A 19,109-nucleotide genomic window follows, 5' to 3' on the forward strand; every position below is an offset into this window, starting at 1 on the left:
TTCACTCGGTCATGTCTAGAATCATACAGGGCTGGGGAATGTGGTCTAAGAGATGGGTTCAGAGTGTTAAGGTCTTGTCAGATAGAAGAGATGGAGACATGGCAGCCAGGTAGTCCATAAGGGCAGAATTAAGGGTCGTGGTATAGCAGTCTCCCACTGTCTGCTATACCACAGCAGTAATAACAACGGCTAGCATTTACTGGTAGCTTACTGTATGTCAGATTCTATGCGGAACGTTTTACATATGTTCTCACAATCACCCTATAAGGTAGATATTATTATCCACTTCATTTAATAAATGAAGCAACTGAGAGTCAGAGTTAAATAATTTGTCTGTGATCATACAACTAGAAATGATGTCATTGCCATGGACGAGAACCTTGATAGCATCATAATTCCTACTTACTGGTCCCAAACCTCCCAACTCAGGATTTCAACTTTATGCTATTGCCTTTCCCTCTGTGATGTCACCCTAGACTCAAAAATATCCCTGAGTGCTACCACATCCGCCTTTAGAGTTACTTTCAGACAAAGGTAGGTGTGTGTGTGTGTGTGTGTGTGTGTGTGTGTGTGTGTGACTTACCACAATATAGTCCTGATATGCTTCTTCCAGCAATTATAAGTATATGAGATGGTCCCAATTTTGAAAACCCCATCAAGAGAGCTCCAACTAATGACAGAATGTTTGCTACTAACATGGCTTTGATTCTGAAATTTTAAAAAGCAAGGAATATAAATTCAGCATCAAAACTTGCTAAAATTATTCGCTTTCAGAGCATGTTGAGATTTTTTTTAACCTAAGAGCAATTATTTTAATTTTGCTGTAAAAGCTAGTTGGGGAATCTTGAACCAAGATTGCTAATTTGACTCATCTATGGACTAAAGTATTACTAATAAGCAAGACTTATGATGGGATAACCTAGGTTGCATCCACCTGATCTCTACATTTTTCTATTTTATTTTGAGACAGGGTCTCACTCGCTCTGTCACTCAGGCTGGAGTGCAAAGGCACCATCATGGTTCATTGAAGTCTTGACCTCCCAGGCTCAAGCCTAATCTCTACATTTTGATAGAGATGATTCAATCCTGGTGAGGACAAGCTTAAGATAACACTTATGACAGTTTTTCAAAGAGTTAACTAAGTTTTCTCTAAGTTGATTGTTTTAAAGAATAATTGTCTGGTGATAGCTAAATTCAATTCTATAGTTGTAACCTACAACTTTTTTTTTCTTTCAATGGCACAGGTTTTTAATCTAGATAGGAAAGGAACTTTCAAAGTTAAATTTCCTTTTGTATAAATTATTTGGAAGTAATTTAAAACATACTTTTAAGCCTTATCTAGAGAATTATAATTATCTGTATTTTAATATTGTATGCCAGCATATTTCCAAAATCTATAAATTATTAGTGACCAATGTAAAATACATAATAGAGCTGACAATAGCAACAAAAACACTTTCAAAATTAATCAGATGAAAATTGACAACATTTGCAGATATCTGTTACTTTTATTTCTAATTAATGGGAAAGCGAGGTACACAGAAAACCTTTTTTGCAGTCAAGCAGATAATGGTAAGGCCAATAAATGCCTGAGTAGACAGGTGTGAAAATGTTTGTGCCAAAAGAAATGTAAACGTCCTTGTTATATTCTATTTCACTGCTTCAAACTTTGATAGGTGGGCCTTTTCCATGCAAGTATCTTTAACACCAACCAAACAGAATTTTTTTTTTCTGGAGCATAAAACTATAAAGTCACATACTGCAGTGATTGTCCAACATCCACGTGATAGGCTAAATCATGTCCCCTGGCAGCCTACAGCATAATCCCCAGACTCTGTAAATGTTACGTCACATAGCAAATGAGGTTTTGCAGATGTGATTGAGAATCTTGAGATGGGGAGATTATCTTCAATTATCTGAGTGAATCCAATGATGTAATCACAAATGTCCTGATAAGAGTAAGGTAGAAGAGGAGCAGGTGATATGATGACAGAAGTAGAGATTAGAATGTTGTGCTTCAAAGATGGAAGAAGGGGCCACAAGCCAGAGAACTATAGTTGGTCACTGCAAGCTGGAAAAGGGCAAGGAATGCATTCTTCCCTCAAAGCCTCCAGAAGGAACCAGCCTTATTGGCATTTTGACTTTAGCTAACTAAAACTGAGTTTGGAATTTTGACCTCCAAAACTATAAGAAAACATATTTGTGTTGTTTTAAGCCACTAAATTGGGGATAATTCATTACAGCAGCAATGTGAAATGAGTATAGGGAAACAGAGTGATTTAGAGCTGGCTAGCCCCAGAGCTACAGAGTAGAAAAATAGTTTAAGGGGTGTTTAGTAGTTTAGACTATTGTGAAATGCTTTTTATCTACACAGGGACAGAGGGCAGGCAAATTCAATAATTGACCTTAACAAGTTGTTACCACCTAGCTAATAGTCTCTTTTATTAGGGGAAAAAAGATAAAAAGTCATAAAAGAAATAGCCTGGAAGAATCTTTGATGCCCTAAAGTCCCCTTTCCCTACCACCAAAGGATGCAGGAACACTTTATGTAATTTAAATTCTTTTAACTTCTGTTCAGATATTAGAAATGGCCACAAATAAATACTTTAAAAAATACATGAAATAGCTGAATCAGGGAAAAAGAAGCTTAATTCTATGTAAGCATATTTCTTAAAATCTGACTCTAAATACTTCAGATAGTATAGGCTCGATTATTGTCGTGGTCATGGTCATTGTCGTCATCATCATCATCATCATCATCATCAAAATGAGGCCACATTTGGTGTTTGCTTAATAAATGTCAGGCATTGTTTTAAACCTTTTATATTTGTTGTCATTAAATCCTCACAATAATGCCATGAGGTAGGTATTATTTTTGTTTTCACATTGCAGATGGGAGGAAAACGTCTTAGAGAACCTAATAACTTGCTCATTTTCATACAGCTATTAAGTGACAGATCTTGGACTTGATCTGTGTGAAACCAAAGGGTAATGTATCATTTTAATGAGTTCCATTTTTGATGGGAAAGAATGCATGCCTTCAAAGGCAAGCTATGCATCGCTTCCTTTACTCATGGTAGTGTGGATTGCACAGACCATAGTCTTCTCTACCGTACCCTGGTAATTAAACTGTAAATGCATAGGTTGGAAAAATTGGCCTTGCAAACCCAAAACTATAAAATGGTGGCCACAGACATCTGTTGACTATTACACAATTGCAAGGAAACACTTTTTTTTTTAAAGGCAATAATGGAAGTATTACATTTTTATTTATTTACTTTTGACTGGTAGATAAATGACACTGGTAATAATGAAAATCATGTCACTTCTCAATGAATCTCTCTAGAAAGATAATTTTATGGGGATACTGATAACTTTGTCTTAATTTTGATGTTGAAGTTATGGACTTTTGGGCTGCTTTTCAAGGGGGATCATTTTATTACTAAAAGCTAGGAGAAACCTCACTTTTTGTTTACCATAGGTCATTTGATACGTGGTCATTTGACATTGTTTTGGGGTATAACCATTGTTGATGCCAAATCCTAAGACTTCAGAGGGTTTGTATATTGGCTCCATTAAATGTTAATTAAATGTTAACACTAATTAAATGTTTTAGGTTAAGTCACTGAACTCATCAGAATCTTACCTCTAAATGAGAGGCAACCAGGGTTTACATTTTTTCTTCAGGAATGAGAAGTAGTATAAAATATCAGTAGTTGCTAAATGATTTGTGCATATTTTAGAACGTAATTTAATTTTGCTTAATTTGATTTACTTAAAAATTTTTTTTAAAATTATTTTTCCTTTTTCCTTTTGTCTGAGCCCACTTGCTAGGAAATAATTTACTTTAGCAATAAATAATTAATCTAGAGAATTCTCCATTTACTACTTAAACCAACTTGATACACATTGAAATTATTTTTGAATTTTTTTAAATGATGAAATTCAGTTTATTAATCCGTATTTTACAGATTCGTATTTAAAGTTCAACTGAACATCAGCAAGTTGATTAAAATATAAGAAATTGACCACTGTCTTTTATGGTGGAGAAAACTCCATTTCAAATAAAAATAATAATAAAACTTGGGTTACCATGATATTGTAGTTAAGAAAACTTATAGTCATATTATATAAAAGCTCCAGTATAAGAGGAAGAGTTATCAGAATTTTAATAACCAGAGAGCTAAAAATTATAATTTATAATAGGAATTGAAAAACTAAGTGAATTATAATCCAGAATTATTAAACTAGTTGCCTAAATTGTTATTTACATCTTTAAAGGCATTTTCACTTTCTAAATTTTTCATATATTATTTTTATCATGAGAAAAAAAGGTAATGCACAAAAGGTGGGCTCAAATAGGAGAAAATCTAAAAAATAATCATTTGATATTCTGGTTTTATCTCCTCTTTATATAGGGTGGGAAATCCTAACAGCTGTAGTCCATTGCATGAATAAGTAAAATTTGAGGGTAAAGGAGTTCCACTGATGTTTTTAATCCAAAAAACCTAACAGAAACTCAAGTGATAAATGGGGGTATCTCTTGCTTCATCTCTGGTTGGGGCTTTGAGATAGCAAGCAGTACCAGCAGCCAGAAACCGCATAACAAATACATTGGGCAATTGGGAGTTGGGGATGTTGACTGAACCTTTGAACTTGACTGATCCGAATGCCAAATTCTAATTTAAAAAGGGAAAACTGGATGTTTGAGACATAGTGTGATTTGGTGAAGCAAACAATGGACTCCCAGGTTAAAAACTCTAATTAGTCTCTTCTGCTGAGTTCCTGAGTTAACCGTTTGTGTAGTGGTCTCCTAGTATATTTTATAACTTACAAAGCTAGAGGATCAAAGCAATTATCTAGAAATACACACAAAACTCATGTTTGGTATAAATGTCTGAACAATTAACCAAACTGTCGCAACAGCTTTTTTCATTGATTTGATCTAACACTGATATGCCTCATAGGGTCATGAGTTGAAAAAACAACTCTAAAGCTATTCCACAAGAAGAAAGATAATATTTTTCTAAACAAGTGTTAGGAAAATGAAAATATGAAAGTTTCTGTTTATGCTTATTTATGAAATTTGCCTACCTTCCAAGTGTGTCCCCAAGCCACCCACCAAAGAATGATGCAGTCATTCCACCAACTGCAAAGCTGGATACAGACAGGGACCAGAGCATGGTGATTAGTTGAGCAGCTGCCACAGTCTCTTCCTCAGCCCAAGGGGTTGGTTTTGGGTTCATTGAGTATGAGATTGTGGGCAGTTCATCTGTACTGTTGATAACATAGTTGTTGATAGCTTTTCGGTCATCCAGTGGAACACCCAAAACATGTCTATAGTGAGATATTATTACCTAGGAGATAAAGAAAAATAGCTTTACTATTTCAAACATTCTATGTATTTTTGTTTTTGTCTTTAAAGTGTTTGTTACGTGTTTAAATAGTACCATCTCAATTATGTGTTTTATATACATATAAACATGGATAGATTTGTTTACAGTTGGCCATATCCTATAAAAGAAAGGTTATAAATTACATTGCCAACAAGAACCAGGCAGGAACAAATAAATGAAGGGAACATGTAATACTTTGATGACTAGGGGACTAAAATACATTTTCTACTATTTGGGACTAATAGGGAATGGTCAGGATTGTGGAACTAGAGGAGCAAGAGGAAGCTGCAAACGTGAAACTGGTGTTGGATGACCTTTAACTTTTTAACAGAAAGTCAGAAATCTGAGTTTTTATGTAAATTTTTTCGAGTTTTAAATATTGGCAACTATTGAAATTGAAACTATTCTGCAGGCTAGGCCAGGCGCGGTGGCTCACACCTATAATCTCAGCACTTTGGGAGGCCGAGGTGGGCGGACTGCTTGAGCTCAGGAGTTTGAGACTAGGCTGGGCAACATGGTGAAACCCTGTCTCTACGAAGAATACTAAAAATTACCCAGGCATGGTGGCACATGCCTGTAGTCCCAGCTACTTGGAGGGGGCTGAAGCGGGAGGATTGCTTGAGCCTGCGAGGTTGAGGCTGCAGTGAGTCAAGATGGAGCCACTGCACTCCAGCCTGGGTGAGAAAGTAAGACCTTGTCTCAAAAAATATATATATTCTGCAGGCTAAAAAGATACATTTTCATGCTAGTGTTACTTCTGCACAGCAGGATTTAAATTGACTTATACATATTTTAACAGAATCATAAAAGTGGATATAAGAAAAAAGACTGGGAAAGTTAAGATGAGGGTCAAAAATCAAGTTAGCATACAGAATTCAAACACTAGATGGTGTATCTTTGTTGGAAGTGAGCTATAGATTTACCAGTAAACTTCCTAGCCACCAGGGCAGAGAGGAAAACAACCGGGTATATTATTGATGAATTCCTAAGATAACAATAAGTTAGTGGCCCTTGAGAAGGTATTGAGACCCAAAGGAAGTTTCTCCTGTGGGTCCTCATAGAGTTAACTGTGTAACAGAATGGACAACATTGGAAACTAAATTTCATGGAGCCATATTTTGTAATATGCTTCATATAATTCAGATGAATTATAGGACATGGGAGGAAGACGAGGCCATCTTCCTCCCATGTCATTCCTCTCAATGATGATTTGGTCACTATTTAGCATCAGTGAGCTGGGAGGGTACTCTCTGAAAAGGACCTGGAATGCAGCTGCTCTGGGTTACTAGTTATGGGCAAAGGCCTGTTTGGTAATGCCAGCTGAGGGAGGGGAAGAATTGAGCATCCTCTTATAAAAGAAGTCTGATCAAGACATTTGTCTCAGACTGGGTGCCGTAGCTCATGCCTGTAATCTAGCACTTTGGGAGGCCAAGGTGGGCAGATCACTTGAGGTCAGGAGTTCAAGACCAGCCTGGCCAACGTGGCAAAACCCTGTCTCTACTAAAGATACAATAAATTAGCCAGGCATTGTGGCTGGAGCCTGTAATCTCAGCTACTTGGGAGGCTGAGGCAAGAGAATTGCTTGAACTCAGGAGGCAGAGGTTGAAGTGAAAATCTCCAGCCTGGATGACAGAGTGAGACTTTGTCTCAAAAAACTAAAACAAAAACATTTGCCTCACTAGAAGGCTGCCTTATATGAATAATATGCATAGAAAAAAAAGCTGAAGGAAATATCCAAAATGTTCTCAGCAAATAATTATGGGTATTTTTTTTTCTAATACTGTCTTCAGTAGGCATGTGTAATTTTCATAACCATATGAAAGTGTGATTTTAAAATCCTTCCAAATAATCCCAAATGTCATTCAGCTGATTAAAAAAAGGCTTAAAAAATCATTCTTATGTAATGGTGTTTCAGCAGCTCTTTAAATACAAAAGGAAGGGCCTATATAGAGAGAGAGCACTAACCTGGACGCCAGTATGGGGATCGCTGTTTTCAGCTCTGGCTCTGGGACTTGGATTGAAGGAGGTGAAACCTTAGCCTAAGCTTCCGTCTAAGACTGGAGGGGATGGTTTAATTTTTTCTTTTTTTTTTTTTTTTTTGAGATGGAGTTTTGCTCTTGTTGCCCAGGCTGAAGTGCAATGTGCGATTGCAGCTCATCGCAACCTCTGCCTCCCGGGTTCAAGTGATTCTCTTGACTCAGCCTCCCGAGTAGCTGGGATTACAGGCATGTGCCACCACGCCCAGCTAATTTTGTATTTTTAGTAGAGACAGGGTTTCTCCATGTTGGTCAGGCTGGTCTCGAACTCCCGACCTCAGGTGATCCGCCAACCTCAGCCTCCCAAAGTGCTGGGATTACAGGAGTGAGCCACTGCGCCCGGCCAGGGATGGTTCAATTAATGATGTGATAAGGTCTTCCACAAAAAGAGAAGGGGCTCTATTAATCAAGTCATGGTGATGTTGAATGTTAAATTGTTAAATGATGTTAAATTCCAGGAAACCTGCTAAATTGGCATGTGTTGTCATCACCCACACAAAAAAGATATGACCCTTGTCTCTTGACCCCCAGCACTATGCCCTGGATCTCTCAGCCTGCCACACTCCTGATGATTGTAGCACCTAATCGGAGCACGTCTTTCAGCAGGAAGCAGCCCTTTTCAGGTGATGGATTATGGTCAGCGCATATTTCACATATCCACACCCTGCAGTATCTTTCATTTTCCTTGGGGCTCAATGTTCTAAAAGAAGCAGAGGAAATATAATGGACTTACAGAAGGCACCGAAAAAATGTTTGTACCTTCACTTTATGCCACCTCTTCCCCAGGTTCCTCTTCTCTGTCTTTCATTAATTCACCCCTCTTTATTGAGTACCTTCTTTATGCCAACTACTGTGCTTGGCACCAGTGATAGGAAGAGGAACAATTCATCAGTCTTGCCCTCAATGACCTCACAGTCTGAGTTAGAGCAGAGGGGAATGAAGTCCTGGTTCCCCGACTTATGGGCTGTGGGAGCTGAGAATAACATACCTCTCCCATGTATTCACTGAATACCAGAATAGGGATGCACGAAATATATGAGAAAAATGGTTGAAATAACTTGATTAAAAATTCACCCAAGGAGTCATCGTGGAGAAAATCCAAACTTTGTTGAGCTTCTTGAATATTATTCTAAAGTTTTACATTATTTTACTTTGGGTCACCTATGGGAGACAGGAATGGAGGGGGAAGGACCATAATCTCTTTTAGTTTAGGGCTTCTTAAGGTTTTAATGTAGACTGGAAATGGGCATAATAAGGTTGTTGAGAGGATCCAGCTGGGGAGATCATATGTTAAAGTACCTGATGCAAATAAGCAGGTGCTCAAAAAATGTCCCCTGAGTGAAACATATCCTTATTCCCTGGCACTTTTCATTCATGTATGGCTGAGATCTCTGAATGAATGTTGCAATAAGCTCTTTTTTTCTTTTTTTTTTCTAAAGTATCCTTCAGCACATGATATTCTGCCTGGAGTTTTCTGTGAGCTCAGCAAACAGCAGAGTCAGAGATTAAGAATTATTTATTGCCTCCTTTTTTTTCCCCCGTGATTGTTAATTAGGGAGTCAAGGCCAAGTTATCAGCTTTGGAACAGTGCACATCGTACCTGACAGGCCAGGATGGCCTTGTGTCTCCCACGTGGACACCCTTTATCTCTGTGTATGAGGAACATATGATATCTATCACTGACAGAACTTGCCAAAAAGAGAACTTCTACATATTTCACTTGCCTGTTGAGGTGCATTGATCACACCAATGTCATATCCAAACTGGAAGGAACCCAGCACAGCAGTGATGACAGTGAAAACCAGGGTCCCAGTGACCTGCAGGGGGCGAGACACAGGGCAGGGAAACACCAGGCAATTTTAGTTTCCCATCTTTCTGTCAGGCTGCAGCTTAAACTTCTTACAGGCTCCACAGGCTGGTTCTTTCCCCTCAATATCGATTTGCAGTATGCCCTGTGCTCCAGGCTGGCAGGTGTTGTTCATACAAGAATGTGAGCCATTCATCATTTCCCCTATGCTGCTAAAACTCAAAGAAGTTTGGGACAGCTTCTTCCAGGGGAGGAAACAAACATTCTTTTCCATATATGTGTATGAGAATAGCATACCTCTCCTGACTATTCACCGGATACCAGAATAGGGATGCATAAAATATATGAGAAAAATGATTGAAATTACTTGATTAAAAAAATCCACCCAAATAGTCCTCATGCAGAAAATCCAAACTTTGTTTTATATATATATATTTGTTGATATGTGTGTGTGTGTGTGTGTATATATATATGTGTGTGTGTGTATATATATATATATATATATATATACGTATGTATATATATATATATATATATATATACGTATGTATATATATTCAGAATCAGGACTGAGAACTAGAATAGCTGCTGACGGAAGGGAGCCGCCAAGATAGAGCCATTATATCATTGGGAGCGGTAAAATAAGATACCAGTAATAAAGAGATGGGGAGCTCTGTTGGATGTTGCCATGGTGACAAAAATACTCATATAAGAGGCATTAGCTAGCCTTTATCATGTTCCGCATCAACATCCAGGGAAGGGTACTTTTCAGGATTTGCATCTAGTTCAGCCTAGAGTTGTAGGATAAGGGCCATTATTTTCTCCCCAACTCCCCAACTCCATGTAGTTACAATGAAACTGTGTAGAAAAGGGGCAGAACATTCATCCCCTTGAACTCATATTTACATGTCTAACTATCTTAGAGAAATCACATCATGCATACGGATACTTAGTTTAGCATTTTTTTGTGCATGTGATAGCAAAATTGTAGAAAGAACCCAAATATCGTTCAATGGGAAATAGTCAAATAGATTCAGATACATCATAATACATACATCAGATACATGTAATATGCTATGCAGCAGTTAAAAGGAATAATATGATCATGTGTACTGACTTATTTTTAAGTGGCGAAGGAAGTTATGTAATCTAATGTTTTTAAAGGCTTAAACATGAGTTTGTTTGATTTAAAAAATCAAACAGTTATTTGATTTGTGCATGACGTATATAATTTATAGAATGTTTTCTTGAAGAACAAATGAGTTGATGGTCCTTGAGGAGGAATGTGAGGTTGGAGAAGGAGAGTGAAGGAAATTTTTTCTTGTATTCATATGATTAGACATTTCATAAGGAAGATATTTCATGTACATTTACATAAATTTTTAAAAAGCTTGGGATATAGTAGGAACTTTGTTGTGTAAATGAATGAGTCACATCAACATGGATTCCAGTTCTCACTCTCTTAGTAGGTATGTGACCCAAGCCACTTCCCTTATAGGAGCAGTTTTTCTCTAAATTGTGGGGTGATAGTAAATCTCCCTACCCTGGTGTAAAGCCCCAGTATAAAGAATAGCAAATTAGCCAGAACCCTTCATTACCCTGAAAAGCTAGAGATCAGAAATTTCACAAAGTATTGTCACAGAACCATCCTGGGAGCCCTTGAAATTATTTAGTCCAGTGGTTCTAAAACCAGACCCTACTTGGAGAGCCTGTTACACATGTAGCTTCTTGGAGACAGCCCCAGATCTTCTACTGGATTAGAATCTCTGGGGTGGGGATAGGGAATCTGTAGGTTTACAAAGCTTCCACCCCTTTCACTAATATAGGGGGTATCTGTCAGACTTTCCCTCCTAACACTTCTTTCTCTGAAAGAAAGGACTTCAAAGTTGACCCAAAAGACATGGTTATATGATACATATATATTGCCCAAAAGAATAATATATATGTGATATATAATATTGCATAATATGTTTATTAGATATAAATTGGCCAGGCATAGTGGCTCACACCTGTAATCCCACCACTTTGAGGGACTGAGGTGGGCAGATGGCTTGAGCCTAAGAGTTCGAGACCAGCCTGGGTAGCATAGCAAGACCTTGTCTCTACAAAAAAATACAAAGATTAGCAGGGCATGGTGGTGTATGCCTGTAGTCCCAGCTACTCAGGAGGCTGAGGTGGGAGGATTGCTTGAGCCCAGGAGGTTGCTGCTGCAGTGAGCTATGATTGCACCACCATACTCCAGCCTGGGTGACAAAGCAAGACCCTGTCTCAAAATATATATATTTATTTTATATATTTATATATCATTTACATCTGATATTTATCACTTATATATATCATTTATATCTTACATATAAGATATATTAACATTTTATGTTTATTACACGTGAATTATATATATTATACATAAAATGCATACACACACTATATGATATATGGTCTATGTGAGTATGAAAGATTTTGAATTTAAAATCTAAAATGTAACTCGACATCTAAAACTCAGTGGCTTAGATAGCCAAATCTAAGATGGAATTTTATTTACTTAGTTGGTGGTTTCTCCTCAAATCCTTTTTCCCCTCAAGCTATTTCCAAGGATAGGGATTTTCATCCTTTTTACAGGTGGTAGCCATTGTCAGAAGTGATGGGATAAGGAGTACCCTGGGAGGGCTTTAACCCACTTCCCTCATACTCTCCATCACTGAAACCAGGACAATCTCATGTGAGATGCAACACAAACAGATTCAAAGCCTAATACTACTTATGCTTACTGCATGCCTGTTCACTATGTGGATTATCTCATTTACTTCTTAAATTAGTTTTCTATTGCTGCCGTAACAAATTACCACCAGTGCAGCAGCTTAAACAACACAAATTTATTTATCTTAAAGTATAGCCAAGCATGGCAGCTCATGCCTATAGTCCCAGCGTTTGGGAGGCTGAGGCTGGAGGATTAATTGAGGCCAAGAGTTCATGACCAGCCTGGGCAGCATAGCGAGATCCCCATCTCTACAACAACATCTATAGATGGGAAGTCTGGTATAAGTATCACTGGACTAAAATCAGGTTGTTGGTAGGCTGTGTTCCTTTCTGGAGGCTGTTGGAGAAAATTTGGGTTGATGATGGAATTCAGTTCCTCTTGGTTATAGGTCTAAAGTCTGTCGTTTTGCCCTGGTTATAAATTAAGGGCCATTCCCAGCTCTAGATGCCACCAAATTTCCTTGGCTACTGGTATCTTTCTTTCCTCTTTATAGCCAGTAATGGGCAGGTCAGGTCCTTCTCATGTTACATCTCTCTGGCACTGACAAGTAGCTGGGAAAGTTCTTCCCTTTTGAGAATTCATAGGATTAGATTTGACCCATCAGGGTAATCCAGGAAAATCTCATCTCTAGGTCTATTACCTTAATCTCATCTGTAAAGTCTTTTGCCACATAAGGCAAGATATTCCCAGGTTCTGGCAATGCAGCTGTGGACTTCTTTGGAGGACGATTATTCTGTCTACCACATTCTTCATGGCAGCACCATTAATGTCCCCATTTTATAGATAACTAGATTAGTTTAACATCTCACAGTTAGTAAATTAAAGAACAATGACTTGGTTCCAGATCTTACGCTTTTAACTTCTTGGTTATTTTGCATCCCTCATTAGTCAGATACAGACATTCAAAAGCGAAGCACATCTGAAAAATCTAGGACCATAATCTTTATAAATTAAAAAAGCTAAGAGCATACATATCCACAGAATTTACCACTTGTGGGTGTTTAGCTGTTTGGCTTCAAACACACAGAAATCTCAACCACATTTTCCCACCACCTACCACACAAATCCCTTTTCCCCCACTTACCAGTAGAAACTTTTGGTGAGGTCTCTGGACAAAAGTCCAAAAAGGCAAAGCCTACTCAATTGCTCATCGGTAGCTGAGCTGAAGAGGAACCTCAGGGTCTTCCCACCACCAAGCCCAAGACCACAATATACTTTCCCAGTCTCATCCCTGCATTTTCTTTTCTTCTGTGGCACTTGGTTTATTAGTGACTGTCACCTCCTGCTTCATCCCTGGATTTCTGTTCTCTGGGGGTTCTCTCCCTGTCCCTCTACCATACAAACATATAATTTATTTCTCCTTATTTTAAGAGTCCAATCAGTAGCCATGCTAATGGTGAGCAGGGGCGACACAGAAATTGAAGTTGGGGTGATAGCGATAGCTGCAGCACATGTACTCCCCTGTCGTCTCCATTAGTTCACCCCTGTCACTTTACATACACAGCCTAAGTCACAAAGTCCCACATTACTTTGACAAAAATGAAAGCTAATTTTTAAAGATGCTGGATCTCCCATCCTATTTCTTTCCAATCAAATTGTTCTATAGTATAGAAATTCTGGAGCTGCCTCTAAGATCAGTTTCTCATTTTATTAGAATAACAAAAATAGCAACTATGAAGGAGATAGGAGAGTTTTTAAACATTTAGAAATCTTAGCGTGTTATTAAAGTCCTTATCCTCTGGCCTTCCTGGTTTCTTTTTGAGGGTTGACTGTGGTCCTGCCACCCCAGGGCCTGCAGTTCCTTATTTTAACTCCTCAAGATAGAATTTTACCAGGTTGGTCAGATAAGGAGCAATCTCATCCATTTTAAGCAGGTCATTTGAATTTCTGAGAATTTCCAACAAAAGTGATTATCCCAAATATCAAAATCTCTGAAACTGTTTAATGGCATTTCCTTTTGCTTTCTTTTTCTTTATCTTTTATTTTCAGGTTTAATTGCCCTCTCTGAACTCCATGTTAAAATGGCTCCCACTCCTTCATCTTTTCTTTCTCCAATGTTGTGAAATGAAAAGAAGTAATGTTTATAGTCAGCCTTGTATGTGGCTTGGCTCTAGACTTGGTCAAAGGAGGTTTTGTTTCTAAGGGGAAATTTCTGAACACGACCAAGTCTTAATAAGCCCCGTCAACCTTCATTCATCCACTCTAATGTCCAAGAAGTTGACACAAGAAGAAGTACATAAGTGCTACTGAAAATAGCAAGAAATTAGAGAGGATCTTAACCTGTCCAAGTTCTGAGGTTCTAGATGGTTTGCCTGTTTTCTCAACAACCCAGTAGGTAGGAATTATTATTATCATTTCACATATGGGGGAGCTCACATGGAAAGAGTAAACAGCTTGTCCAAAGTCCACATAACCTAGTAAGTGCAGAAGATCTTCAAGCCTTTTCTCCTAACTTCCTCATAGGCTATAAGGTGTTCAGCTTGCACTTTAAAAAATGCTACCTTCATTAGGAGCTTAATAACTTTAAGTTAGAGAAACTAGATTTCATATCCAATTTAAAATATGCTGCTGGATAAATGTGGAAGGGTAGAATAAGCAAATGGCTGAACTTCAACATAAAACAATGTAGTGTTTATATTGTGGCTCATAAGTCATATAGGGTCTATTAGAAAAAAACAAATAGATGTGGGAGTCAGAAAAGCTCCAAAAGAGTCCCAGCTAGGCTCCTAACGTCACTGAGCCTAAGTTTCTTTGCCTATAAAATGGGTATAAAACTAGTTAATGCATAGGATTACTGTAAAAACTAAGATAAATAATGTGGTCTTCCTATAAACAGTAAAAGGGCTACAGAACAAATGCATCTTTAATCATGTCTTTATCATCTCATTCATTTCTTTTGTCAAACAGCCATGTGTCAACTTTTCATACTTTACCGATACTCTTTGCAATACCACAAAGTACATGAAATTATTCCTATTTTAGAGGTGAGGAAGCCAGGGATCAGAGAGGATTAAGGAGCATACCTAACACTACACAGCTGGTGACAGATACTCTAGTGTGGGAACCGAGAGCTGATGGTCTTAAACGCCACTGCTAACCTGAAGAGCAGATTTTTCCAGCAATTACTGATTGACTAGGTAGGGAGGAGAAGCTTATACCCTTTTCTTTAAACTACATGTCTCCAAAACCTAAACCAAAGGTGATCTTGCATGCAACTTTGGAAAAAGCCAGGGGCTTATCAAGTCACAGAATTTTTAAGTTGAAAGAGACCTTAGAGAACAATGGATTCTTGTCTAATTCCTCCATTCTTCAGTTGTAGAAACTGAGGTCTCACAGGCCAAGTTGTTTATGTCATTTGTCTGATTTCTGTGAGCATTTTGGGCATATTCAGTGTGACAACTCAGGTCTCTTGACCCCAGTTCCTTGCTTATCCTACTTCTTTCAAAGTCTGGATAGATTCACAAAGCTGAAAAACATTGCACTACCTCAGTTCTCATTCTTTCTGGGTTCCATTGTTAGGCAGTTCCTTGGTTATCAAGAAAAGATCTACAACGTAATTTCAAAAGCCCCTAAGAAAATTAATGATAGTTTTGAATGAATCTTGAACATCTGCGATGTGCCAGACACTATGTTAAGCACATTACCTTCCTTTTTGCAGTAGCTTTCAAACTTTAGTTATTTGATTACTACCTTCATGAATTTTGCCAAATCTACATACCATCTATGTAGTTGTTAACTTAATGTTTGTCTTTATATTGACCTTAAAGTTCTAACTACTTTAGCTTTATCCTGGGCTATAATACTCATGAAATCATGATGTGCTAATTATTCTTTAAATACATACTATATAAATGCTATATAAATAGCATTTTATATTTAACTTTAAATATCAAACATATAAATGGTGCTTATATAATATGTATTTAAAGTGTTTATACATTATAATATAATTTATCTTTTATAATTTATAAATACTATTTAAATATGTATTTAACACTATTAATAATTATATAACTATTAACATTAAAATTGTTGTCTAAGCCTCTCTAATATAATCTCATTTAATTACTCCCTAACTCTAAAGTACTAGTATAATCCCTGAATATCCCATATTATATCACTGAGCCCAAGTTTCTTTGCCTATAAAGGGTATATTGTATCCTAATATGTTTTTGTTTTCTCACAATAGAGAAAACCCAAAGCTCAGTTAAATAACTTAACCCAGGCCTCACAGCAGTTTAGTGGCATTGCTAGAACCCAGATCCAAGTCTGGCTGACTCCAAAGCCAGTGCAGCTAACCATGCCATCTAATGACATGAAGGAATGTTCAGCAGAGTAAGTTGCACCAGATGAGAACTTAAAGGTGAGACCCTACAGGGCACAGATTGATCAACTTATATGATTGTGTGTACAGGGGTGGGTGAGTTTAGAAACCACGTATAAGGGAGCAAGGACACTATATCCTTTATATTTTTAAGTTTTTTTTTAAAGTATCATATCTAGAGAGAAGTTGAAACAGTAGTGAAGTGATCATTCCATAACCTTCGCCTTTATTCACCACTGGTTAACATTCACCAATTTGTTGATCTCTCGCTCTGTAGTGTTTGTGTGTGTGTGTTGTTTTGGCTGAACCATTTACAAATAAGCTGTAGATATTTGTGTCATTTCACCCCTAAATACTTTAGCATGTACAAAGAACAAAGACATCCTCCTACATAATTAGATACCATTATTATATCCAAGAGTGTGAAATTGATACAGTAATATTATTTAAGATGCAGCCCATATTTAAAATTTCCCAACGTCTCCATAGTTCCCTTATTGCTATTTTTTTCTTCCTTCCACAATCTAAATCATTTGTTGCATTTGGTTGTCAGTTTGTCTTAATCCCTTTTAATCTAGAGAACAACCCTTCTACCTCTTTTGTCTCTCCTGCATTGACGTTTTTGAAGATTCCCGATGAGTTTTCATGATTAAATTTAGGTCAATCTGCCCCCTTTTTTTTTTTTTTTTTTTTGGTTAGGAGGGGACATATTTCTTTAGTAATATGGTTATGCACAATTACTTGAAAAAACTTATGCAGACTAGTCAGTTAACAGAGCAAAAATCCTTAAAACCCCAATTACTGAATAAGAAACAGTTCTTCAATTGGCAAAGTAAAGAGAATTAATTTTGATCTGTGGTAGCTACACCCAACCTCCCCCAAATCCTCTGTATGACTTGACTGTATTCCCCTAACTATCTCCTGAAAACCAGACTTGAAATGAATATAATGCTGCTTTACCTTATCTTCTGTCATTGTACTAGTTGGGAGTCCTGTCAATTCCAGGTCTTGTGTGAGTGTGGCACATGCACCTGACTAGCTCCTGCCTGTTTATTCGCAGCTCTGCCTAGGCCTAGTTATGCATTGCAGGAGGAGGAGCAAGGAGAGGGAGGAGTTGGGCTACCCAGACCTGAGAGTCCAAGTCTAATCTTCTCAGCGGCAGCTGAATATTGATGGGAATCTAATCAATAAGTGCTTTGCCTCAGCAACCTGTGGCTTCAATACCTTTGTTCCACTAGGAAAGAAAATGGGAGCAGGTCCCTTAGGCATAAGTTACAAACCAGAGGCAATCACATTTCAAGGCATGTGTTATGTGGCAGTAATTGGGAGCTGGTGAAAAGAGAAATCTTTGGAGTCTTTTGTAGAAGATGAGATATGCTGAGCTGCCGTGCTGTGCTGTGGAGCATGGGAGGCACACTGCACTCTGCTCCACAGATAATTAGTGCTGTGGTGTTTCTGTTTAGAGCTGAGCTGTGTGGCCGGAGACCATTGTTGACTTGAATGGTTACCTGGATGAGCTTTGGATTGTTAGGGACTTGGGTTTGAATCTCAACATTTTACTGGGGAGTATAACCTTAAGCAAGTGGCTCACTGTGACTTTTCTCTGATTAGTTTTTTATTTTTGCCTGATAAAATAGAAATAACACACATTTTGTTTTGTTGAGTGGATTAAATGAGATAATATGTGAAAGTGTTTGGCATATCTCAACATATAATAAGTACTTAGCAAATAGCGGTTGTTATTATTATTGCTTCATATATGTCAAGAAGCACTTGCTGGAGGCTTTAACGTAGAGTTCTCAAATAAACCTGCTCATATGGCTTGATCTTGGGCCTAAGTATCCCTTATGATATCCAAACCCTGTGGGGGTTCAGGAGATATCAAATTTATTGAGCTTTAAGTGTGTGTGGCAACTGGGGCCACAGATTGCACTGAGGCTCAAATGGAACCAGTTCCCAGCGGAACAAAAATGTAACAAGCAGCAACACAATGAGGGGTGTTATGAAGAAACAGGGTGAGAAAATGAAGGATTAGAGGAGATTCAGATTTCACCTTTTTATTTTGCCACCCTGTTTTCATTTCTGTCACCTCTGCAAGGTGACACACCTGAAATGTTTGGTTTGAGAAGGTAATTCAATCAAACTACAAACTTTTACTGAGTCCAGCACAGTTCCATGCTCCGAGATGACTGAGATAAATAAGTCACAGCCTCCTCTTTCTAGGTGTTTATAACATATAAGATGAGACATATGTAATGCAGACACAATACAATAATTTCATAGTGGAAAAGCGTGAGCAAATATTAATAGTAATGATGGTTAATCTTTACTGAGGTCTTGCCGGGTGCCAGGTGCTGCTCTCAGCACTTGACATGGATTAACTCGTTTAGTCATAACATGAGGTGCTCTGTGTCATAGTGCCAAGCTTTGGGGAGCAGCTTTGAAGTCAGACTTTAAAGCGCCCAGTTAGCCACGCTGACTTTCCGCATCAGTTTTGGCTGGTGATGAGCACGCCCCATTGCCAGAGCGGTCCACAGTCAGGAGCGGTTCCATGGCATTTGCCAGTGACATGACATTCTGCAGGAAAGCGTCTCTGTGCCGCGTCGTAAATGATACCGGTGTGGTTTACCAACCTTTGTCTTTTGAACCTGCCTTTTCAGAAACGGAATTTGCCTTGAGTGCGCGGGCGGCCAGTGAGCCTTTAACTTCTTGTGCTCAGCCCCGGCCTGCCGGCGCGGAGCACGGCGGCAGGAAACCATTCTCTTCTCCCATTGGGAGCGCGACCCGC

At 38.2% G+C, this 19,109-nt stretch overlaps 1 protein-coding gene across 5 annotated transcripts in view; it reads right to left on the reverse strand.

Annotated features, from left to right (window-relative positions):
- Positions 1-17,346, reverse strand: part of SLC2A2 (solute carrier family 2 member 2) — a 30,374-nt gene extending 13,028 nt beyond the window's left edge. The window contains exons 1-4 of one of the 5 annotated variants that reach the window (NM_000340.2): positions 17,282-17,346; positions 9,157-9,249; positions 5,095-5,357; positions 584-708 (exon numbers count right to left, since the gene is read on the reverse strand). In NM_000340.2, the coding sequence (NP_000331.1) occupies positions 584-708; positions 5,095-5,357; positions 9,157-9,249; positions 17,282-17,296 (496 nt within the window). In that variant the 5' untranslated portion in view covers positions 17,297-17,346. Of the gene's footprint in view, positions 1-583; positions 709-5,094; positions 5,358-9,032; positions 9,082-9,156; positions 9,250-17,281 lie in introns of those variants that run through there. The other 4 variants (XM_011513087.3, NM_001278658.2, NM_001278659.2 and 1 more) reach the window with 4 other exon arrangements.

This window comes from Homo sapiens, chromosome 3 (assembly GCF_000001405.40).
Source record: "Homo sapiens chromosome 3, GRCh38.p14 Primary Assembly".
Classification (NCBI taxonomy): Eukaryota; Metazoa; Chordata; class Mammalia; order Primates; family Hominidae; genus Homo; species Homo sapiens.